The sequence below is a fragment of the Homo sapiens genome, chromosome 6 (genome assembly GCF_000001405.40).
Source record: "Homo sapiens chromosome 6, GRCh38.p14 Primary Assembly".
Taxonomy (NCBI): Eukaryota; Metazoa; Chordata; class Mammalia; order Primates; family Hominidae; genus Homo; species Homo sapiens.
The window spans coordinates 162,429,752-162,455,122 of NC_000006.12; the positions used below are offsets into that span (position 1 = coordinate 162,429,752).

General features: G+C 38.7%; 1 protein-coding gene across 6 annotated transcripts in view; it reads right to left on the minus strand.

Annotated features, from left to right (window-relative positions):
- Positions 1–25,371, minus strand: part of PRKN (parkin RBR E3 ubiquitin protein ligase) — a 1,380,350-nt gene that overhangs the window by 1,082,335 nt on the left and 272,644 nt on the right. For 5 of the 6 annotated variants that reach the window (NM_013988.3, XM_011535863.2, NM_013987.3 and 2 more), the window contains exon 2: positions 13,559–13,722. The exons of the other annotated variant lie outside the window; for it this stretch is intronic. In NM_013988.3, coding sequence (NP_054643.2) covers positions 13,559–13,722 — 164 coding nt within the window. The remainder of the gene's footprint in view (positions 1–13,558; positions 13,723–25,371) is intronic. 6 annotated transcript variants of the gene reach the window in all.

A 25,371-nucleotide genomic window follows, 5' to 3' on the forward strand; every position in this document is an offset into this window, starting at 1 on the left:
TACCACTGCTCTCCAGGCCTAGGAACCAGGAGTGCTTGCTGTGGAGGAGACACTTGGCAAGTATTTATTAACAGAATCCAAGGAAGCATCTAAATTCCCGAAGATTATGTGCAAAGCCCCTCTGCGTTTGACCCGGCTCATCCTCTTCCCGGTATCACCTTCCTCATTCTCACTTTTGCCATTTGTTTAGTCACAGCAAATAATTGTAATTCTAAAGTAGTGCCAGACCTTTGCATCTTTTATTTTATAATATCTGCATAAAATATTCCTTCCTTTTAAAATCAGAAATCTTCTGTTCATCACTTAATTCCCAGCTTATGATTCTCCTCAGCTTAGAGGCCTTACTGACTCAGCCTAGGGGAGCAGACAGTGCCTCCTGGATGCAGCACTTTGATGATGATGACGATGACGACGACGACGACGATGATGATGATGATGTTAAAATCACAATGCCAGCAACTGACATCATGGGGTGTTACAACGTACAAGGCACTCTTGTAAGTATTTCTGTTTGGTGACTCATTTAACCCTTGTAGCAACCCCATGAGGTAGATAACACAATTTTTCTCATTTTAGGAGAGGAACTGAGGCACAGAGACATTAACTAATGCACCAAAGGTCAAAATGGCATAAGCTACATTCCAACCCATGTGGCCCACCTCCTAATCCATGCACTATGACTTGTGGACATATTTGTACACTGTGACCTGAAAGATTGTTGGGAGCAGGGCTCATACCTTATGATACATAATGGGTGCCCAATAAAAGACCGTTGAGTGAACAGATTTTAAAACAATCAGTTGTATAAATACAGAATGGGGAAACTGGCTTACATATATATATATATATCTTGTAAAAACAGAGTTGGGGTTTAAATGGACTGTATGGCTCTCTAAGTCATATCATTGATCCTAAAAATAAATTACAGGCCACATTAATAGGCAGATTATACCAAGGGGCATGTAGTAACTCCAGCATAGATCAGGCCACTTTGAGAATCTAGTACAGTCCTCTCTCTTTAGAAAAGACCAAATGGAGTTCGTCCAAAGTAGGTAAAACATATGGCTGCTAAAATAGGAAGAGAAATAACTGAAGGGCATATGGATTATCGTCAAGTATCTGAGAAAGTGTTATGTACAAAAATTTCTTCTGATTTAAAAGGGCAGAACAAATCTAAGGGTGGAAGAACAATGTGCTCAGATAAGGAAGCAAATTCCAGTTGTGTGTGCTGGGCCCACTCAGGCTGCCTCCTAAGAATGGACAGGGAACACCTCTTCCCAACGCCGCCTTCAGTGTTATTATGTTGGTCCCTTAAAAAAAACAGGGCTGGCAGGTTTTGCAGGGAAACTCCAAAGTGACAATCAGAGCTTTGTATTTATAGAGAGTCAGTTTACCTGCTTATCACTGCATTTATCCCATTTAGTTGCTAAAAAAAAAAAGAAAAAAATGGACTTGGTTGCCTTGTGGAGAATGGATAGTAGTTGAGCCTTGTGGTGAATGGATAGTAATTGAGAATGCGGCAGAGAGAGATGACTTCGTAACCAACAGATACATATCATCAATGCGCACAGAAACTTAAGGAGGGGCCAATGTGATACGCGAACTGTTGTCAGTCCTTTACATTTAGTTATTTTTAAATTTATTTTTCAGGAAGTATCTATAAAAACACTATATGTAAAACTATTTATAGGTCAGGAGGCTGAGGCAGGAGAATTGCTTGAACTGAGACCCAGGAGGCAGAGGTTGCAGTGAGCCAAGATCGCGCCACTGCACTCCAGCCTGGGCTACAGAGCAAGACTCTGTCTCAAAAAAAACAAAACAAAACAAAAACAAAACTATTTATAGGTTAAACACTCTTTATAAGTAAAACTCATTTATTTAAAGAAACAGACTGATATTTTTATAGTTCTCTCATCAATCTCTTCTATTAAAAACAAACAAAATACTAAAAGAAAACTGCCAATCATTTTGAATAAGAGATGGTCCACTACATTCCTCCACCAGAGGCAAGAATTAAAAATTTACCAAGTCAAGCAGGAAACCCTAAAAGATTATCAACAAATGTATTATATTTTTCAAATTCGTAATGCAAAATCTATAGGTATGTTTTCTAATCAGTCCAAGACTCCAAAGTAATTAGTGAATTTATTGCCATTTTCAAAAAGTAATACCCCTTGATATTTAAGTTTCAATAGTATGGTTTTAATAAACTGAAATGAATCATTAGAAGAATTTCCCCCCTTTATCATAACTGATTAAGTCTATTTTAAAGCTTATATGCCCTCTTCAGGGAAATCTTTAAAAATTTCCAATTGTTTATATCAGTGAACAGGGCTGAATAACCAATGTATAATTGGTTAAATCAGATACATTATTTCCCCCTCAAAACAATGCCATTGAGTTGAAGGCAAAGGATAGAAATGAACTCACCAGCTATATACAATATTATATGACATAAGCAATATTAAAGATTGGTATATAAGAAACCAAGCTTGGCTGGGCGCCGTGGCTCATGCCTGTAATCTCAGCACTTTGGGAGGCCGAGGCAGACGGATCATGAGGTCAGGAGTTCAAAACCATCCTGGCCAACATGGTAACACTCCAACTCTATTAAAAATACAAAAATTAGCTGGGTGTGTTGGCACGCAGCTGTAATCCCAGCTACTAGCAGGGCTGAGGCAGGAGAATCGCTTGAATCCAAGAGGTGGAGACTGCAGTGAGCTGAGTTCACACCACTGCACCCCAACCTGGCAACAAAGCGAGACACCGTCTAAAACAAACAAACAAACAAACAAACAGAAACCGACCTTTAAAATAAATACAAACACAAAAAGATTAGTATGTATTTAATCTGCAAGGCTAAAGCCACACAACTGGATTTCAGTGTACTACAAAATGACAGATCATATAAATTCAAAATCTTCATTCTGCTTATCAATTACAGAGGCAAAAATATAACTATTTAAGTGGGTCTTAGAATGTATTTTCTCTTCAGAGTGCTTCCTGATCCTCTTGCCCTCTATTTTACATTCAAGCGACTCATGAATTCTTAGGAGAAATCTGAAATTACTTCATGCCCCTTGTTAAACAGATTTTGAATGGTAAGTACTCCTGCAAAATTGCTCCCCCAAATAAAATTTCACATACAGATACATTCAGTGCATTAAAAAAGTAAACTCCATTAGAATAGAATATAGTATTTTCTTAAGATAACTGTTTAGACTTAACTCAAAGGAGTTCCCACAAATATATTCTGTTCTCAGTTAGTTCAAGTGTGGAATAGGCAATTTGGCATGGGGTAAATCTGTCCCCTTTTGCAATGTTTTAAAACAGAATAAATCGTGGGATGAATTTACTGCGCATTACAAATAAAATGTTTATATTTTCTTTGTGAATTATTCATCAAATTAAACTAATAACATGTTAAAATTTGCTTATGTGTCAGTCCTTTGTAGGTAAAATTTCATATAACACTCAAAACAAACATATAAAATATAGGCATTATTACTATCTACACTTCATATAGATCAGAAAAATAAAGACTGGAGAGCTTAAATGACTTGTCCTTCCCAGAGAGTCTGACTTTAGAGTGATTCATATCTACTGTACTTCATTATAACAGTGTATTTGAAAGTCTAGTTGAACTCTTAAGTGATTTCATCTAGTGTATGACATTCTTGAAGTTTTGACTTCTCATTTATATATAGCAATAAGCACATGTGTAGGATGGCATCATAAAACTCCCTTGGAATGAAAAAAACATATAAAAAGTTTTAGGCTCCTACAAGAACAGCATGTATCTCAATGTTCCTCAAAATGAGAATTGACTCCAAGGTACAAAACAGGTAAACTGAGGAAGCAGATGTTAATTAACCACTTTAGCAGGTTCTGAAGTTCTTAGTGTCCAAGGTTTAAATAACACTAGAACTATCTTAAACAAATGTTTGTGTTTATTTCCTGTTTTCTGAACAATGTTTTTGATGAATTACGCATAGATGGAATGCAAACACACAGACCCAATTCCCTTTGAAATATGTAAGCCTATAAAAATGAGCAGAAAATATCCTTGGCAAAACCTGCACTGAGCTTTCAAAAGCCCACATATTTGAAATTGAGTTTGTGATGTACTCAAAACACAAACATCAGTGGGTTCTCGCATTCCTCATTTCTCCCTCTAATGTCAGAATATTCTATTAATTTAAAAAGCAGAGTTCTGTGCCATAATTAGTCTACATATTAAATCTTATCTGAGTGACACCTCTGAATGCAAAGTATCCAGAACAAATAATAAGACAAGAAACATTCCATGCAAAATAAAATTCAATGACAGAATAAAATCTTCAATCCAATGCAGTTTACACAAGTACACCCACAAAAATTATAATTTTTCCCAGGAAATGCATTCCCCAAATGAATGTATGCTTCTCTGTGTGAAGACATATATGTACAAAAGGCTAAAACATTTTTTAAAAATCCAAAAACAATTGATACTAGAACACTATACTGACACCAACTTTATAAATCATGGGCTTGCCCAACAATTCAGTAAATACTTGATGTTCTGCCTCCATTCAAATGAGTCTGTGCATCCTCTGATTTAGCACATGGCCAAAGAAAGATCTTTCAGCCCATCCTTCTGTGCTTTACAAAGGCTACTATGGCAATCTTCACTTGTCCAATGTGAATTTCAGTTAATTTAACTTCTGCTGCTAAATTGTTTATGATAATTTTATTTTTATCAATATTAAACCTAATATTTGAAAAAAAAAGTTAACACAACATATTAGGCCAGACTCTCCCATTCCCATTTAATTGTGTTTTCTGTGTCTTATGGGCATCACTAAAGTTATACTTTAACATAAACTATTATAACATAAAGGATCACATCCCACACATTTAACTTCATCTGCCATTTAACTTATATCTAAGGAAGATCAATGCTGGAATAAATATTTACTAATGGTAACTTATTAATTAAAGCTATGACCCAAGCCCATATATAAATAGAAAATGAAGGAGCACACATACTCCCATATGTATTCATCATAAGTGAGTTTGGTATATAAGCTTCAAAGAAGTTTCTCATATACAATCTTATTGTTCCTTGACAGTCATCTCAGGCTTGTTACAATGACTTAGTAAAAAGGGAAAAAAGTAAAGATGGAATTTCAGTGAATCATCTTTGGGTTCAGAGCTTTTGGGTGTATAGACACAACCTCTCATTTCTTAAATTCTTCCCTAAAGGATGATGACTGTATTAAGCAAAATCTCAGATAACATCAGGTCAATTGGATGATGGAATCTTAGTCCAATAATGGAGACAACAGAATATCTGAAACTAGGACTTCAGTGAACAGTAACACAGTTTCAGTATGGCATCTCTTCTCTGTCATTTATCAGGTTTCCTGTACCCTAATAAGATGCATCCTATGTTAAGAGTTTGGAGATTGGATTGCTGCAGAGTTTCACCCTCTCACACATTGCTTGCCTTGGAATGTGAGTGTAATCACAATGGAAACATCTATGAGATGAGAGCCTATTAAATGAATCCACAGACTATATATCTTCAGCATCTTATAAGCTATAAGAATCTTAGCTTTTTTTTTTTCTTCAAGTCTATGCTTATTGATGGCAATCCTCAGAGATGTTTTGTAAGTCCACATGGGCACAGAAATGTCAAGGCTTCCTTTCAAAGAAAAATAACATTTCTGAGAGTTCTGAATTATGCAAAGAGGTAAGTCATTCAGGGATACTTTCTGACATGTAGAGGCAACCAGACACAAATAGATGAAATAACGGTCTTCCCAAAGTGAGCATTTGCCCTGTACAGATGATCATTCTTTGATTCTAGACTCGGACACGTAGCAACACTTACTAGTTCGTATAATAATGTACCTGTTCTTTGGAGGAACTCAAGAGGATATGTACATTTGCCTAAATAAAGGAGGCCAGCAGTAAGTTCCATTTGCAAGGCAAACCTTCAGAGAGAAGATGCTTGTATCAGTCCTGTAGTGAATGAGCATCTCATTTACATGACCAATCTCTTACACAGAAATAAATCACTGCGTGACTGTGCTCTGGGTATAATGGTATTGAGCCTGGCCTCCTTTTATCTTATAATCAGTTAAAATAGGAACTATATTGGTCATTTGCAGAATTCTTTTATATACAAACAAAAAATCATGGTGGAAATGTATTCAGTGCTCTAAATTGATACTAGCCTCTTTCTGTTTTATAGTCAATAGAAAAAGCAATCTCTACTAAAAATACAAAAATTAGCTGGGTGTGGTGGTACATGCCTGAAATCCCAGCGACTTGAGAGGCTGAGGCAGGAGAATCACTTGAACCTGGGAGGCAGAGGTTGCAGTGAGCCAAGATCATGCTATTGCACTCCAGCCTAGGCGACAGAGTAAGACTCCATCTCCAAAAAAAAAAAAAAAAAAAAAAAAAAAATTTGAATAAATTACCAAAAAAAACCATGAAATTTCAATAAATTTAGTTCAGAAATGAAGCCATTACATCCCTAAATTCTATTACATAAATATGTTACTAATGTTTACTCTATAACCACAGCAGATCATCTGTTTCCTTTTTTTTTTTTGAAACAGAGTCTCTTTGTGGCCCAGGCTGGAGTGCAATGGCGCAATCTTGGCTCACTGCCACCTCCGCCTCCCAGGTTCAAGAGATTCTCCGCCTCAGCCTTCCACGTAGCTGGGATTACAGGTGATTTTTGTATTTTTAGTAGAGACGGGGTTTCACCATGTTGGTCAAGCTGGTGTCGAACTCCTGACCTCGTGATCTGCCTGTCTTGGCCTCCCAAAGTGCTGGGATTACGGGCATGAGCCACTGTGCCCGATCTGGCTCATTTATTTCCTAAAATTATAATGTATGACTAACAAATCAATTTAAAAACTATGTACAACTGGAGTACACAATTGTCAAGAACTATTTACTTTTGCTTAGTTTAAATATTTGGTAAAGAGTTTGCAAATAAATACTCATCATGTCTATTCAGATCTATAATGTGCTAAAAATTCTGTTTAAGACTTCAAGAAAGAGGCCAGGAGTGGTGGCTCATGCCTGTAATCTCAGCACTTTGGGAGGACAAGATGAGTGGATCACCTGAGGTCAGGAGTTCAAGACCAGCCTGGCCAACATGGTGAAACCCCGTCTCTACTAAAAACACAAAAATGAGCCAGGCGTGGTAGCGGGCGCCTGTAATCCCAGCTACTCGGGAGGCTGAGGCAGGAGAATCGCTTGAACCCGGGAGGCGGAGCTTGCAGTGAGCAGGGATTGTGCCATTGCACTCCAGCCTGGGCGACAGAGCGAGACTCTGTCTCAAAAAAAATAAATAAATAAATAAAAAAAGGCTTCAAGAAAGAGGCATTAATGTCTCTATAAGTTTTACTCACCCTGTACTCTTAGTATGAACAAGTCTTTAAATGTGTCTGCTAATCAATTAAATTATTTTTCTCATTTCTTATGTTAAATATCACTCATTGAATACATACTCTCCCTTTAAAAGAGAGACAAATAGCAAGCTTATTTTCTAAGAAAGTGATAGTTTCAATTCCTCTGTGAAAGTGGACAGATATCCTAGGTTTTTTTTAAATTCAACTTTATATTAAAATGCTTACACATTCTAACGCAGTTGTAAGAGATAGCAGAGAAAGATGCCAGCTACCTTTTCCCCAGCTTCCGCCAGTGGTAACATCTTGCCAAGCTAGACGTTATAATTGTACTATAAGCATTGTTACAGTCAGCACAGAGGACGGCCGTCACCAAAGGGTCCCTTCTGTTACCCTTTCACAGTCGTACCCTCCTCTCACCTGCTTCCACCCCCTTCAGAACTGCTGGGAAGCATGAATCTGCCCTCCATTTCTATCATTTTGTCGTTTTGAGAATGTTATATAAATAAAATTATTCAGTGTACGATCTTTGGGGATGGGCTTTTTCCACACAGCACATTTCCCCTGAGATCCATCCAAGATATTTTGTATATCAACAGTCGGCTCCTTTTTTACTGCTGAGTAATATTCTAGGGTGTGGAGGTACCAGTTTGTTGAACCACAGATCCACTGAAAGACATCAGAGTTGTTTCCGTGTTCTGCTAATGTGAATAAAACTGCTATAAACATTCATATACAGATTTGTGTGTGTACCTACGTCTTCATTTCTCTAGGATAAATAACTAAGAGTATAACTCTGTCATCTGGTAAATACATATGTCATTTTTTATGAAACTGCTATATTCTTTTCCAGAGTGGTTCTACCATTTTATATTCCCAGTAGCAATTTGCGAGTAATCCAATTTCTCCACATCCTCACCAGCATTTGGTGTTGTCTTTATTTTGTATTTTAATTTACCTACTTTACCTATTACTCTAGATATTTCTTTATACATTCTTAACTTGTCATGCTCTACTGCAGTTGCTATTTTGTAGGTCAAGTTTAGAAATCTTACCTTTCCTTGCATCTGTGTTTATGTTTGCCTGAAATGTTTCTTCTACATGTAGAACTACATTAGACAATGCTATAACTTTTGCTGCAACCCTCTAACATAATTTAGAAAACTCAAGAGGAGAAAAACAGTGCATTGTATTTAACCATATTTTTGCTTACTATGTTTTTCCCTCCTTCCTAGTGTTCCAAAATTCCTTTTTTTGTTGTTTCATTTGTTTAGAAAATTTCTTTAGCCATTCTTTTAGGGTAGGTCTGCTGGTGACAAATTCGCTTAGTTTTTCTTTATCTAAAAAAAAAAGTATTGATTTGTTCTTTCTTCCTGAACGACATTTTCACTGGGTATAATATTACAGGTTGGCAGTTCTTTTCTTTCAGCATTTGAAAAACATTGTGCCACTTCCTTCTAGCCTTCATGGTTTCTGATGAGAAATCCACTGTAATTAGAACAATGTTAGCCCTATAGGGAAGGTGTGATATTTCTCTGGCTTCTTTCAAGATCTAAAATTTGTCTTTAGTTTTAAGAAGTTGAATTACGTTGTGTGTTGGTGTGGGTTTCTTTGGGTTTTTCCTGTTTTAGATTCACTCAGCTTTATAAATCCATCTATAACTTTATGTCTCTTGCAAACTTTGGAAGTTTCCAACACTTATTTCTTTGAGCATTTGCCCACCATTATCTTCTCCTTCCAGGAATCCCCTGACACAAACTTTAAATGCTCTGTTGGAGAACCACAGGTCTCTGAGGCTCTATTCCTTTTTTCTTTTTCCAGCCTACCTTTTCTTTGCCATTTGGACCGTGTCATTTCTATGTTCCAACTTCCAGTTCACTGACTCTTTTCTCTGTTCCTTCCATTCTTATGTCAAACCCATCAGTGAGTGTTTTATTTCAGAAATTTCAAACAAGAGGCTCTCCACTCAGCCTTTACTAGTGTTGGTGGGGACAAGGATAGGGCCGCAGTTTTTCTGTTGCATTTGGCTGGAGTAGACTGGTTATTGTCTAAATGTTTTCTATGTTGCTAGGCAGCCCCTTTCTGAGTCCTCTGGATAAAAAACAGGCCATTGTTGGGGATTTCTTCCTTCCTTCCTTTCTTCCTTTTCCCTTCCCTTCCCCCTTCCTTTACCCCTCCCTTCTCTCTCTCTCTCTCTCTCTCTCTGCCCCTCCCTTCCTCTCTGCTTCTTTTTTCTTCTCTTTTCTTTTTGTCTATATATGTTGACATTTCCTGGTTGCCAGCTTCTTCAGTTCCACATCTGAGGTAACGTAGCAAAAAGAAAACTCAAGAAATTCACCTCTGGATTCTTCCTTGGGTTCTAAAATCCCTACTCTGTCCACATTCTTCTCACTACTTTCAGAATCTTCCTAAGCTTGTACAGCGGACCCTTGAATAACATGGGTTGAAACTGCATGGGTCCATTTATATGCAGATTTTCTTCTGCCTCTGCCACCCCTGAGACAGTGAGACTAACTCCCCCTCTTCCTCTTCCTCTTTAGCCTACTCAACATGAAGACAAAGACAATGAAAATCTTGATGATCCACTTCTACTTAATGAATAGTAAGTATCCTCTCTCCTTTTTGTAATGCTGTTAATGTTTTCTCTAGTTTTTTTATTATAAGCATACAGTACATATTACATATGAAAAATATGTATTAATCAACTGTTCATGGTATCAGTAAGGCTTCCCGTCAATAGCAGACTACTGGTAAAGTGTGAGGGGAGATAAAAGTATACATGAGTTTTGTCTACATAGCGGTTGGCACCCCTAACTCCATGACTCCACGAGTCAACTGTACAATATGCAATGTCTAGGCTTTTTAGTGTAGTTGCTGGGAGGAAGAGGGAAAAGTATGCCTACTCCAGCTTCCCAGAAGCAAAATCTGTGCCAGATCATTCGTTTTCAATGTCTATATTTTTTCCATTTTCCTTTAATTTTTTAAAGTTCTTAAAGTCTTGCCAATAACAAAACTGAACAGATGAGTGTGTAATGAAAATAACTATACTCTAACAGTGCTTCTCTAAGTGGCCTGTGGATATGCTCTCCCAGAACTGAAAATTCTATGAAAATTTTTTAGATGTGACATCAATTCTATTATAATCTTACAAATACCCTTTGCCAGTTAAATAGACAAACTCGCTTTTTAAAATTATGACATTTCATAAGACTGTGGTCTCAAGCTATAGTTCCCCAAAGTACCTGAGGTGAGGCACTAAAACTAATTTCCTCCTCAAAGAAGGTGAAACTAAGTGTGAGAGATACTGCTCAGTATGTGGGGTGACCATTGCCTCAGTTTTCCTAGGACACTCCCAACATATAATTTTGTCCTGGAATAATTATTGACAGGGTCTTCTTTTATACTCACAATATCTCATTTTGCATGATAAGCTAATATATATGTTCATATCACCTATGATAAAGAATACGAAACCAGGAGGAAGACACCCAGCAAGCATAGACACCACCCCAGCCATCTCTTCTTCTCTTCAGGACACCAAGGTGTATATTTAACATTCATTAATGGAAGCATTAAGTAGCTCATATGGAAGGTCCATCTTCTTTTTCTCAGCAGCAACTTATTATTAGATATTTTGTGCTTATACTGTGAAATATAGCACCTGTAATGATAATGGGTAACTAAATGATATTGACTAAATAGTTGTAAACATATGTTCTAAGATTATACAAGAATATCTAGGATGCTAAAATTCTGCCAGTTGTACACTTAAAGAAAACATAGCCATCAATTTGCAATTACATGTGTAACTTCCTAGTCTTTACAGTGAAACTCTTCTATGAACAAAGTTTGCCAACTTCTCGGCACCTAAATCATTTAACTGTGATTTAATAGAAGTTCCATAAGTATGAACCTTTCTTTTTCAGTGTCCTCAGACACAAGTTCTCAACAGCCAGCTAGGCATCTCCAAACACACGTACTCAGCTGGCATCAACTCCCATCATGTTGGAACAATGCAGCATCCTTCCCCCAACCAAACCGGGTCTTCAGACTTCCCATTTCCTTCTATGGCATGACATTTTTCTCTAGTTCCCCACCAATGAAACTTCAATGCCAAGTTAGTCAAGGTTATGTGAAATATAGCCCATATTTTATTTTTTGTCCAATCTTCAACATCTCTCTTCAGGTTCTAGAAGAACAAGAACCCATCCTTTTTGGCAAGCATTCTCTATGCTCATTCCCCTATTCCTCCATCTACAGAATCCTACCTCAACTCAATTCATCCAAGAAGTTCTTCCTGGTGACTTCCAACCAGATGTGTTTTCTCCACCTTTAAAACTTCATAATATTTTCAGGTGCGATACGGCAGTTATGTTTCATATTCTTATATTATAGCTATTAGGTTGAACAACATGAAATTGTTGAACCTGTAAAAATGGCAATCCCATATGGTTCAATCTAATATTTCTCTCGGTTTTAGGGCTCATAAATAAAGAGCAGTCTCCATGAAAACAGGGGCTGAGTTAGGTCTCTCTTTTGGATCCCCTGAGAAGCCTAGGACATTGGAAGTGCTTAAGAAGTGTTTGTCAAAATAGACTCATAAATCAACACATGTCTTAGGCATATATGTTTGCAAAGTCAATCATCTGAAGCAATTAGTCTAACTACATATGAAATCGCTAATTGTTTTATGAATCAGCACAAATGGCAGTTTAGAACCTGAAGGTTTTGGCAATATAAAATGTTTTGATTCAAGGAGCTGTTTTAAAATTATTTATTTGTGAAGGAAACATCCTTGGATTTAGAGGTTGGCAGATACAGTGAAAATCTTTTTAGTTGACTGAAATAGAAAAAAAAAAAATCAAAACCCTTTTTAGCACATGCACTTCCCTTATAAAACCAAATTGCCTGAAAGCAGAGGCCAGCAGTTTGTGCACAACGAGTATGTGCCTCAACACCATCAGCAGGAGATGCAATGCAGAATGACAGGAACAATTTGCATTTCTGTAGCTTCTTTGTATACCCAAATTCTGAGAGCATTTTACAAAGCCATAAATATCGTTACCCACAAGAGACAGGGAAAGGATGCAGATACAAGGACGGACTTTGTGTACTCTGACCCAGGAGCCCCCCTGCGCGGAGCAGTGATACCCACACAGCTGTAAACCTGAGTGCAATTAATTGATGCTGGTTAAGAAAAGGGGAACATACATCTGCAGGGTCCTTCACAGTCACAGGGACCATTCCCAGAAAGCGTTTCGTCTTTCTTGCATTCACAAAGAATAGCGTCAACAAATGTTGAGTTGTATTTGCGAGTTTCCCCAACAAAGGACGGGTCTCTAGTTCTAGGTGATGGTGGTATTATCAGTCACCTCACCAGTCCCCCTAATTCCTACAAAAATCACCAATCCGAATGACATGTGTGTAGGGCTTTCATGGGGCTAGGAGCAGTGGGCTGCCAGAAGCTCTGCTGGGGCCAGGAGAGAAGAGAGCATCGTTCACACTTATTACGTTGCAGGGGCCTATTTCCAGGGACAATGTTACTGAACCTTGGAGAAATTCATGCAAAGGTATACTGTTGTTGTGCTCCAGGCTTCCTTCCCCATCAGCTGCAGAACTGTGCGATTCTGGTCCTGGCCAAGGAGTGCCCAAAGCTAGTTGCCAATGGGCCCCGGAGCCCACACCTCCTCTAGCGCAGCATAGCAGCAGCCCTCACTAACCTCCAGGGGTCACAATTGGGTTACAAATTCCTCACAGTGCAGGGACTGAGCAGCCTGATTGGGAACAATTTATTCGAATCCTTCTTCGTTAAGATTCAAATGGAATAAGTAAGGTAGAAATTGAACAGACACAGAAATTGTGCCTTGCTGCTCCTGTAGTCAGTAGACATTTATTCACTAAGCCTAGCTCGTGTGTTCTTTCTCTCTCTCTTTCTCACTCGCAGTTGTTCTTCCAATCTTTCCTGCTTGCTGTTTTAATGCATAATTAAGAAGGTCAGAATTAATGAAGCAGTGTGGAGTAAAGTTCAAGGAATCCCCAGGCACTATTTATTCTATTAGATCTCAGGCATGAATGTCAGATTGGCAGCGCAGGCGGCATGAGCAATGGAGCTGGCGGCATCCCAAGAACGGCCGCCAAGGGAGACTCACCTGCACAGTCCAGTCATTCCTCAGCTCCTTCCCTGCGAAAATCACACGCAACTGGTCAGCCGGAACCCCCTGTCGCTTAGCAACCACCTCCTTGAGCTGGAAGATGCTGGTGTCAGAATCGACCTCCACTGGGAAACCATGGCTGGAGTTGAACCTGACAAACACTGACCAAGGAAATTGGAAGGGAGAAGAGAAAGTGAGCATCACTCGAAGCCCTTAAATGGTGATAGCAACATTTCTCAACCGATTTACCCCTCGCAGCCCTTCAGTGAATGGTATATATTTTCTTTCACTTACAACAAAAAACTTAATGCTATAGAGCAATATTTGGGAAAAACAGAGTTAGTTACCCACGAGATTTCCCTTTCATATATTCGTCAGTGACCTGCAAACCAAAATTGCATTCTCCCTTTGACATCCATCCTGGGAAACAGAGAGACTTGAGCAGGACACTTGCTTGATTGGAATTGAAAGAGTCCCATGAGTTTATTGAAAAGACTCAGCTCTGACAGCATGTACACACTCACACTCCCTCCACAGTGACCCTCTTAATAAAAATAGGAGGCGATGTGTTAGCACTCAAGGTATAGCAATGGAAAAAAATCTAAGCTGCTCTATAGACCAGAGTGAAGACCCACTCGGGGCTATGGCTCAGAGCCCTAGACTTGGGTGGTCCTGGCCAAAATGCTCCACTGGGTCTATGAAGACAATTATTTGCCCTCTTTTTGGCAGGGAGGGGGTGGAGACACTAGTGACACCATTTGTCTTATTGAAGCCACTGTTCCCCGTGAGACCCAGGCTGCATCCTCTAGTCTGTCTGTCTGCATGCCGTCTTCTCACTGCACCTGCTGTCCCACCTCTTCAGCGTCTCTCACTGCCCTTTACTTTCCATTCTTTCTCTCACTGCTTGAAGTCACGCTCTCATCACATCTTTTCTAGAGTCTCATAATAGCCCCCAACTGGAGTCTTGATCCACGCCATCACCTCCAAAAGGCCCTACATAGTTCTGCAAAATGAGCCTTATTAATACAGAGCTATGTCACACCACTCAAATCCTTTAAGTCTCACACTGTCGGCTGGTGAGGAAAGACTCCAAGATCCCTTTCATCTAGCACAAACCTACATTCCAGCATTTTCTTCATTAATCTCCATGTGTACTCTTTTAAACTAAATGCTCCCAGAAAAAAAAAAATCACAAAAAACTGCTGCACACAACTTCTTGCTTTTATTCATGACCTCCCTCCTTCTCCTCTTCCTATTGAAATCCTGCCTACCTCCATGGCCCACTTCAAATGTGACCTCCCCCAAGAAGCTTCTGGCTATCAGCTACTGCAAAAGCCTGATCTTCCTTATTCAGGGCACCAGTGGCATTTACTATATATGTCTTTTAATATTCACCACATTCCTCATGGAAGCAGGATAGCACACGGGTTAAAAGAACATCCTGAAGCATTAGGAAGACCTATGAAAAATCCCCACAGACTCCTTTAATTGGCTTAGGATGCTAGGGGTCAATCTATTAACCTCCCTCTTTAGGTCTCAGTTCCCTTATCTTGAAAACATAAATAAACCACAGACCATATTATTCGGTTCATTAAATAATATTTATAGTATTTAAAACTATCGTCTTGTAACATTTAAAAATAATGGACATTTAGCTGTTTTTGATATACATTTTGCCTTCTTTAAAAGATAACAAACTCCTCAAGGGCAAGTGTTATTGTTTATTTACTGCTGTGTTTCCTTTAAATGTAGTACTATAGCTAATTATTTCTCAATACCAATGTGAGATGACCCACCTCATCATAATTATAATAATCATTACAATGCCAATAATAATCAGGCACTTACTATGTGCCAGACATTGTGCTCTCATATGGTTTTTCTAAGCCTCCCAGTGATCTGGTCAGGTCCCTATTATTATCCTTATTTTACAGAATAATAAACGAAGGCACAGGGAATGGGACCCACTTTTCTAAGGACATTAATTACTTTCTAATGGAACTGGGTTTCAAATTTATTTCAATCTAACTCTAAAGCTCATTCCATTTCTACTAAAATAGGCTTCCTGAAACCATCTCAGAAGAAAAGTCCAGGCCAGGCACAATGGCTCAAGCCTGTAATCCTAACACTTTGGGAGGCCAAGGGGCAAGGATGACTTGAGCCCAGAAGTTCAAGACCAGCCTGGGCAACAAAGTGAGACCCCATCTCTACAAAAAATTTTTTTAAACAATCAGCAGGGCGTGGTGGCGTGCACTTGCAGTCCCAGCTACTCTGGAGGCTGAGGTGGGATGACTGTGTAAGCCCAGGAATTAGAGGTTTCAGTGAGCTATGGTTGTGCCATTGCACTCAGTCACCCTGGGTGACAGAGACCTTGTCTAAAAAAAAAAAAAAAAAAAAAAAAAAAAAAAAAAAAAAGTCCACATTTCTATCCCTCATGATTAAAAAGATAACAATAAAAAGGCTTTATGACATAAATCAGATATTCCCTATATGGGTGTGCAGTACAAATAAATAAAAGCTCCAGTGAGGAGCTAAGAGCAAAGGACCGTGAACAATAACCATGAACAACATGGGCCCCAAAACAGACGTGACACTCCAGTGAGGGCAGGTGGTCCAGATGGCACCACAAGAACAAAGGCCTGACATCTCTGACCAGCACGGAAAGTGTTTAGAAAAAGGAAGGACGACCAGTGACAAAGTGCTCCAAATAAAGAAAATTCATGAAAAATACTAATTACGGAGGAAAAGGTGCTTTTGATACACTTTTAAGTCAATTTCATTTGACGCCTTTGAAAATAGAGGGGAAGAAATAAAAATGTATTGGAAGCCCTGAGGTATCTTCACAGCATCCTCAGATCAGAGACCATAAGACAACCAATTCATCAGAAAAGACACATGACAAGTTAGGGGCTATAGGGACAAAAGATATGACCCCAGTTCTAAATTTCATTTTCTACTAGTGAGAATAGATTTAAAGTAAAACACCATAGGAAGGAATGTGGGAAGAAGTGGCTGGAATTTGTGCCAAAGCTGCTATAAAACCAGATAAAAATTCCAGGAGATCCTAAGTTTATGATTTTGCTCCAGGGGTTCAAATCATGGAACTCCTACTGCAAGGATGAGAGTTTTTTTGTAAAGGGAAACTGCAAAAAATATTAAAGATACCTCTGTCCAACTACTGAAATCCTAAGTATATACAAGTTTTTTCTATAATAGAAAAGTTACAGATTTAAAGTTACAGTATTTAGATAAATCATAAATACTACGGATATGAATATTTTTAACAGTAAATCTAACATACAATATAAATTTAAAATGGAAAGATAAACCAAATACATAATATTTGACCAACTAAAACATTCGCATGAATAAGAAAAAACATCTTAAGAAACTCACTGAGTTCATAATCAAGTGCCATTATGTGAAAAATGGCTAGTGCTGAATGGCAGTAATGTGATTTGAGTGGGTCTCAACCTTTTTCTGACATATGTGGGAAACATGTCATGTCCCATCTGTACCAGCCCCTGAACTCCAGCCATGATTTCCAAAACAGGAGTGGAAGGAAGTACCCAGTTCTCCCCACCTACTACCTCTTTAAAGTCACAGAAGGCAGAACGTCTTTAGAGCTACATAAAGAGAAATTTGAATGCTGGTTGTAACGCTTGCTAATTTTATGACAAGTTACCTGGCCACCTTGACTGTTAGCTTCCTGATCTAATAAATCGGTATAAGGGATGCAACACCAATGTCTGTTACACAAGATTTATTGAGATTATGGATGTATTAGAAAATCTCAGAAAGAGACTAGTACAGGGCCTATCCTCCTAGTGCTGGGCAAGTGTGTGCTCCAAAAATAGTTCCCTATTCTAGGCACCTAGAGGAGGTAGAGCTAATGAAAGCAGTGTCCTTTGCTTGCATGGTAACTAAGGGAGATTAGATAGGATGTGGGTAAATACTAAATAAAGTAGCCAATTTTTCTGGATTCTGCTCCTCTTGGTGGACAGAAAACTTCCAGAGACCAAGAGATATGATAGAGAATATGGCTCACCTCTACTTTCTAAGGTTTAATTACATATGAAAAGCTTGGAAATGCATTGTTTTAATAATTGTTTTGATGACGTATAATATAGTATCAGAAACAAACAACATACCAGTAAACATTATCAATCATGTGTATTATCAATCAACATCATAATGCACTGATAACAAAAAACATAATGAGATATATCCAGATTCCTTTTTTATGATATCCCTAACCAGGGTTGAGAAGTCCCAGAGAGTAAGGAAGTGAATGGGTGGGAAGAGGGGAAAGGGTTATTGGTGGATGGGCCCTTATATTTCTTTTAAGACAATTTTATTTACCAAGTCTGACCAGGGTATAAACTTCATAAATATAGTAGTCAATATCAATAATTAATGATTCTTAAATGATTCTGGCTGCTCCTCAAGCAGCCATTCCGCCTCCTGCACTGAGAAGAGCAATGTCATTCATCAGCACAGCCCCATCCTCCTTGTCATTGGTCAAATGATTGGTTCAGGGATGATGCAAGCCAATCTGTGCCTGGCACTCCCCTTGTTCCAGTGATTGATTCTGCAGAATACAGGTGACATAAGGTGGACTAATCAAAGTCATATCCAGAACTGTCAAAGGTTCGGTGAAGTCCTTTTAGATGGCAAATAACATCATGTGATGCCTCAGACAGTTTTGCTGAGAGACCCAAAGAAAATCACAGCCCAAGATAGACCATTAACATGAGCACAAAAATGGACTCAGTGCACTGAAGGCAGGCAATTCTTCCTCATGAGAGGGTTTCCTAAGCTCCGTGGGATGTTCGGCTCCACCTGCAGCCCAGTAAGTATCAGAGGCACGCCCCGGTTAATTGCGGCAACACAAAAGTAACTCCACATGTTTCCAAATGTCCCTTGCCTGGGAAGTTTCTTCTGCACCTTTGAGAACTATCACTAAATCTAGTATTCCCTAACTTTAGCAAACCAACCAACCTGTCCTCACACCCTCCTGCGATTACTACCCCATTTTTCTATATAGAAATTTTCATTGAGAATTTCTTATCACCCTGGTCTCCATTTCTTTATTTTATACTCTTCCGTGAGCCAACACTTGAAGACTGCTCTTGGTAAAGCAATGAGCTCTACACTTCAATCCTGTCATCACATTTCAGTTCTTATCAGGTTGACCTTCCAGGGACATTCAATATAGTTGGCTTCTGTTCTCATCATCCTTTCTTCTCTTGGCACCCGCCAGAGAAACCCTTCTGGTTTCCCCTACAAAAGAGGACATACTTTTGTAGCTTCCTCTTCTGGATTCTCTCCCTTTATTGGCCCTGCAGATTTTGGAGCATCCCAGGAGTCTGAATCTGTGTATTCTCCCAGGTGACCTCCTCTAATCCCGTGGCTGTAATGCAATGGATATGTCATCAACTCCCAAATCCTTATTTCCAGACTTGCCATCTCCCTGGACCTTTCTTTCTCTTTCTCTTTCTTTCTCTTCCTCCCTCCCTCCCTCCTTCCCTTCCTCCCTCCCTCCTTTATTTCTTTCTTTTCCTCTCTCTCTCTCTCCCTTCCTCTCTCTCTCTCTCTCTCATCTCACTCTGTCTCCCACTATAGAGTGCAGTGGCACGATCTCAGCTCACTGCAACCTCCGCCTCGCAGGTTCAAGCAATTCTCCTGCCTCAGCCTCCCGAGTACCTGCGATTACAGATGCCCACCACCACACCCAGCAATTTTTGTATTTTTAGTAGAGAAGGGGTTTCCTCATGTTGGCCAGGCTGGTCTCGAACTCCTGACCTCAGGTGATCAATTCGCCTCAGCCTCCCTAAGTGCTGGTATTACAGGCATGAGCCACCACACCTGGCCCTCACTGGAACTTCAGATAATTGCATCTACTAGCATTTGATATCTACACGGATGTCCAGTAGATAAATAAAATAAACATTCTCTTCCTACACCTGTCTTAGTGCTTTGCCTTATTCCTACCCTCTTTGATCCATCAATAAATTTTGTTAACGGTAGTCCTTCATTTCTAACCTAATCTCATCTACAGCAATCTATTTCCCTACCCAATAATTTGTGGTGGAACACAAATCTCTAGAACTGCATCTTTGGACTCATAGCTCAATGTTAAGTGACCTTGCATGTGCAATTTCATCTTCATTGGGTTGTTATAAGGATCTGCATTATTACTAGCTACAAGCATTTTTATAGCTCGTTTTTTATTTTTTAATTGCTATTTTTATGTTTTATATTTTATTATTTATTTTTATTTTTATAACTATTACCTGCATACTCATTTAGCACTTGAGTATATGCTGTATGATACCATCCTCTAGTAGCTTGTTTCATAATTCTTTATTTCTGTCTTTGAAGATCTTTGTGACAGGAAGCCTCATTTCATCTCCCCACTTATACATAGAGGCCAGGATTTTTGCCTTTTATAATGAATTATTAAATGCTATCGGATCAACCCTCCTGCAAAAAAACTACTATAAAATTGGGACTTCACTAAAGAAAGCAGATTCTTGAAAAGCCATAGAAGAGTGAACAAAAAAAATGAAGATTTCTAGTTAGGGGGTCCACATCAGGAGAAGTACAGTTACGTAAAGGGAGTGCCCATTCTCACAGCTTTAGGCTTGAAGCCAGGTGCAGTCCGTGCACATGGCATGTGGGCCAGCAGGCACTTTGGTTGCAAAGCCACAGTTTTTCTGGCTGAAGAAGCAAAACACCAAGACTGGGACACCTGCCTCCGAGGAGACACAGAAGAAAATGAGTCAGAAAGAGAAACCCAAATTTCTATCTATCCACGTCTCTGGCTAACCCCTGAATGATGAAGGTGCGTTATCAGACTCAAAGTTGCTCAGCTAAAGGAAGGATGTGCTCAAGGAGGTGAAGTATAATGCCCCTGTGACAGTAAATCCCCTGTGAATGTAAACGCCCCTATGACTGTAAATGCCCCTTTGAGTGTAACACCCCTGTGAATATGAACGCCCGTGAATGTAAACGCCCCTGTGATTGTAATCCCCCTGTGAATGTAAACGCCCCTGTGATTGTAATCCCCCTGTGAATGTAAACGCCCCTATGATTGTAACACCCCTGTGATTGTCTTCCTCCTGAAGAATACAGCATGGAAAGGGGAACAAAAACAACCTCACAGTGGAGAAACCTGACAGGCGCTACCGCAGCCAGGTGATCAAGGTCAACATCAACAGTGGTAAGTCATCTTGATCATGTTTACCCTTGACACAGTGTGATGCAATGGGCAATTTATCTCTGTGGGCTTTCTCTCAAAAACACATAAGCCCAGTCTAATCTTCACGAAAACATCGCACAAAACGCAATTGAGGGACGTTGTAAAAAACACCTGGCCAGCACTGCGCAAACCTTTCAAGGTCATCCAAAACAAGAACAGTCTTTAGAAACTGTTAGAGTCTAAGGGCCTAAGGAGATGAGTAAATGCAATGTGGTAGCCTGGATGGAATCCTGGAAAAGAAAAGAGACATTCGGTAAAACTAAGAATATCCAAATACAGTTTGAATTTTAGTTAATAAGAATGTATCAGCATTCTTTCATTAATGATAACAGATGTAGTATAACAATGTAAGAAGTTTAAAATAGGGAAACTGGGTGTGGGGTACATGGGAACTCCCTGTACTATTTTTGCATCTTTTTCTGTAAAACTAAAACTGTTGTAAAATAAATGTTCATATATATTAAAGAAAAAGATCTAGATGGAGATCAGACTTGCACACAAAGAACAGATTTTCTTTTCAAGATCAACCAAAATAAATGTCTTCCAAAACAAACAAACAAAGAACCAAGGGTCACTGGAGAAAAAATTACAGAATTCAGTGTCTCCAGTAATTACGTTTATAATGTCTGCGATATAATTTTAAAAGTATCTAACATTTCAAAGAACCATGAAAGTAAACCATTCTCGGAGAAAAGAAAATCAAGTGAGACAAAACCCTGAAATGACTCTAATTTTGAAACTAGGAAACAAAATTTTAAAGGAGCTAGTAGTATTACTGTCCTTAAAGGAGTAAAAAAAAAAAAAAAAAAATTGCAATGAGTGGAAAGATATGACAGATAATCAGAGAAATAGAAATTATAAAAAGGAATCAGGCCGGGCATGGTGGCTCACTCCTAGCAATTTTTTGGGAGGCCCACACGGGCAGATCACTTGAGCCCAGGAGTTTGAGATCAACCTGAGCAATACAGTGAGACCTTAGCTCTATTTTAAAAAAAAGAAAAAAAGAGAGAGAGAGAGAATCAAATAGAAATTCTAGAACTAAAACTACAATTGCCTGGAATAAAAATCTGTTAAATAAATTTAATACCCAAATGGAGATTAAAGAGGAAAGCATTAGTGAAGAATAAAGAATTGTTTTTAAATGAATAGATGTTAGGGACATATTAGATAATATCAAATGATCTAATATATATGTTGTTGGAGTCACAAAGAAAAAATGAAAGAATGGGGCAGAAAAATTTTTCAAAAAATAATGCCCTCAAATTTTAATATGTGATGAAATAAATAAATTTACATATTCAAGATGTTCAACAAATGTCAAGCAGGATAAATATGAACGTGCTTGTGTCAAGGCAAATCATAGCATAGTCAAACTATGGAAAGCCAAAGACAAGGAACAAGCTTTGAAAACAACAAGAAAAGTTTGTCTGTCACATACAGGGTTAAAATGATGTAATTAAGGGTTAACTTCTGGTCAGAAACAATGGAGTCCAGAAGTGACGGCACAATATTACAGTTCAGGAAGAAAACAAAAAGCAAAAAATGCTTGTCAATGCAGAAGTTTATATCCAGTGAAAATATCTTTTAAAAATGAGAATAAAATAAAGATATTTTAAGATTAAATAAAATTAAGATAATTTATCACAAGCAGACTCATATCACAAGAAATATCAAATAAACTCTTCAGGCTGAAGTGAAATGGTACAAGACAGAGATTCAAATCCACAAGAAACAGTAAAAGCATCATAAGTGCTAAATACAGAAGATAATTAGGTAGGAATTTTTTTGCTTTATTCAACATAATTTATTTAATGCAGATGACTGGGTAAAGCAGAAATTCTATTCCATGGGGAGTTTAGAACATATAATATGTATGCCAAGTATGGCATAATAGGTGCGGGGTAAATATGGGTCTTTTATTTATTTTATGAAGTGGAGCAATATTAACAATGAAGAAACTAAGAAGTTAAGGACAGACATTATATTTCTTATAGTAAAAATCAAAATGAATAAAAATATTGACCCAAAAAGCAAGCAAAAATCATAATGGAATTCCAAAAAATATTGAAATAATCCTTCCAAAAAGGGCAGGAGATAATGAAGAATGGAAGAAAAATAGAGAGGTAGATAGAAAAATACAATAAACTGGTGACCAGAACTCACCACATCAATAATTACATTAAATTTTAATGAAGTAAACACTCCAATTAAAAGGCAGGGACTACGTGGACAGAGGGAAGTGGGTCCAGCTATACTCTGTCTACAGGGCTGCATTTTAGATATAAAGACACAAATGGTTTCAAAATAAATGAATAAAAAATACGCCAAGTAAAATGTAATCATAAGAAGGCAGGGATGACAATATTATTAATATCACAAAAAATAGATTCAAAGGCAAAACTATTTTGAAAAAACAAAAAGAGAGAAACTTAAGACTATGCTGCCACCACTTGAAAAGGTGGATCGCAAGGCTCAAGAATCATAGCCCAAGCCTTCCCACTCCTTCCCTCCTTGAGGTGGAAGAGGTGCCCGGTACTGCATCGGGCCAGACTGGGAATGTCAAGGTCTCCTGCCACTTCCAGGTTCCCCGGCTGGAAACAGAATGAGGACTTCCTACCCTCCTCAGGGAGTAAGAGACCCTGGTCTTAGAACATAGCAACTGATGAGGACATCGCGCATAGCCTCAAGGAAACAGCTTTGGTTCTTTGACGAGGGTGTATCTCCAGTAGAATTCCCTCCTCTCTCTCTTTTTCCTTCTCTCTCTCCCCAACATACTCTTTTTTTATTCTTTGATTAATTCTTCCACTTTTAAAATTATTTAGTAGAAACCACATTAAGGGAGATGGAGAATGAGAGGTAGGAAAAAGGCAACTGAAAATCTATATAATAAGACGTGTATACTGTGGCTAAGACCATGGATGTTAGAACCCTCTGTGTGGGTTCACAGACTAGCTCTGTCCCATCCTAACCAACTATGTAAGCATGTCACACAGTTTCTCTCTCTCAATTTATTACCAACAAAATAGGCAATAATAATAGTATCTGGCCAGACACGGTGGCTCACACCTGTAATCCCAGAAGTTTGGGAGGCTGAAGTGGGCAGATCACCTGAGGTCAGGAGTTCGAGACCAGCCTGGCCAACATGGTGAAACCCCATCTCTACTAAAAATATCAAAATTAGCTGGGCGTGGTGGCGCACACCTGTAATCCCAGCTACTCAGGAGGCTGAGACAGGAGAATCACATGAACCCAGGAGGTGGAGGTTGCAGTGAACTGAGATCGCGCCATGGCACTCCAGCCTGGGCGACAAGAGTGAGACTGTGTCTCCAAAAAAAAACGATGAGAAAGTGGACATAATAATAAGGGCAAAACTCTTTGGGGAAGGAGATGACAAAGAAAGGAGAAGAAAGACTGGATGATAACTAGAGAGGGTTTGTGTCTTATAAGGTATACGTTCTCAGTATACTTTGTACCTCATCAAAAATAATAATCATAGTATCTACCTCCTAAAGTTGTTGTGAGAATTTAATAAATCAATATAAGAAAGGTATTTAGAAGAGTGCCTAGGCACATTTTAAGTTTCAGCAATTATTGACTCTTAACTTCAGGTCCAACATATAGTGTAAAAATTATTGTAATTATCACGTCAGTTGTGCCATATTAATGTTTGGTTTTAAAAATGTACCATTTATTTTCTTTAAATAAGAAAAGTGTTCCCAATGGAGCTCTATTCCACTACACTTTATAGTAAATTGTAATTGGTCTAAAGTGTCGTTAGTATACTGATAGTGATATCTTCTGTTTAAATAGAGCTCTCAATTTTCAAAGTGCTTTTACAGACATTATCTCAGTTAATCTTCACAATAGCACTGAAAGATAATTGGGAGACCATTTACTATTCCTATTTTTAAAATAAAGAAACAGATGCACAAAGAATAAAAGTGGCTTGCCCAAACTTCACAAGGAAAGAAGCAGGAAAAAGAATCTTGGGTCCTAAACTCCCTCCTCTGTGTCAGTGGCTTTCACACTGGACTGTATGTTACCCTGAGGGTATATGGGACGTGCCAATGGAAAGTTCTCCTATTCCTCACACACCGTTCCTTCAAACAGATATGTCTGGAAACACATTTATGGCTGTTTCATGATGGATCATTTTGTCCCAGCTTCCCTTCGAAATCAACATTCTCCCACTTCACAAAACAAAGGAATACACTCAATCTCCCCCACGGTGGCTCTGGTGCACCACCACAGGGTGTTAAAGGAGCATGCCTTGAACAACTGGGAACGGGGAGCCTCTTTTAACCCAACCCGTTAACTCACAGTAGAGCTTTATTTCTTTCAGAGTAAGGTAAAGGTTGGCATTAGGAACGATGATGTATTTTTTAGCCATTTCGGACTGTGTTTTCAGCACGTGGGTTGAGTTAGGCTGGTATGAATACAGATACACAGTAAAGAGGGACAAGAGAGATGGTGATGTTCATTTAACTCTCATAGCTCTTCTACCCCTTGGTATTGCCAAAGAAGTAATTCCTCCTCAGGGAAGTTC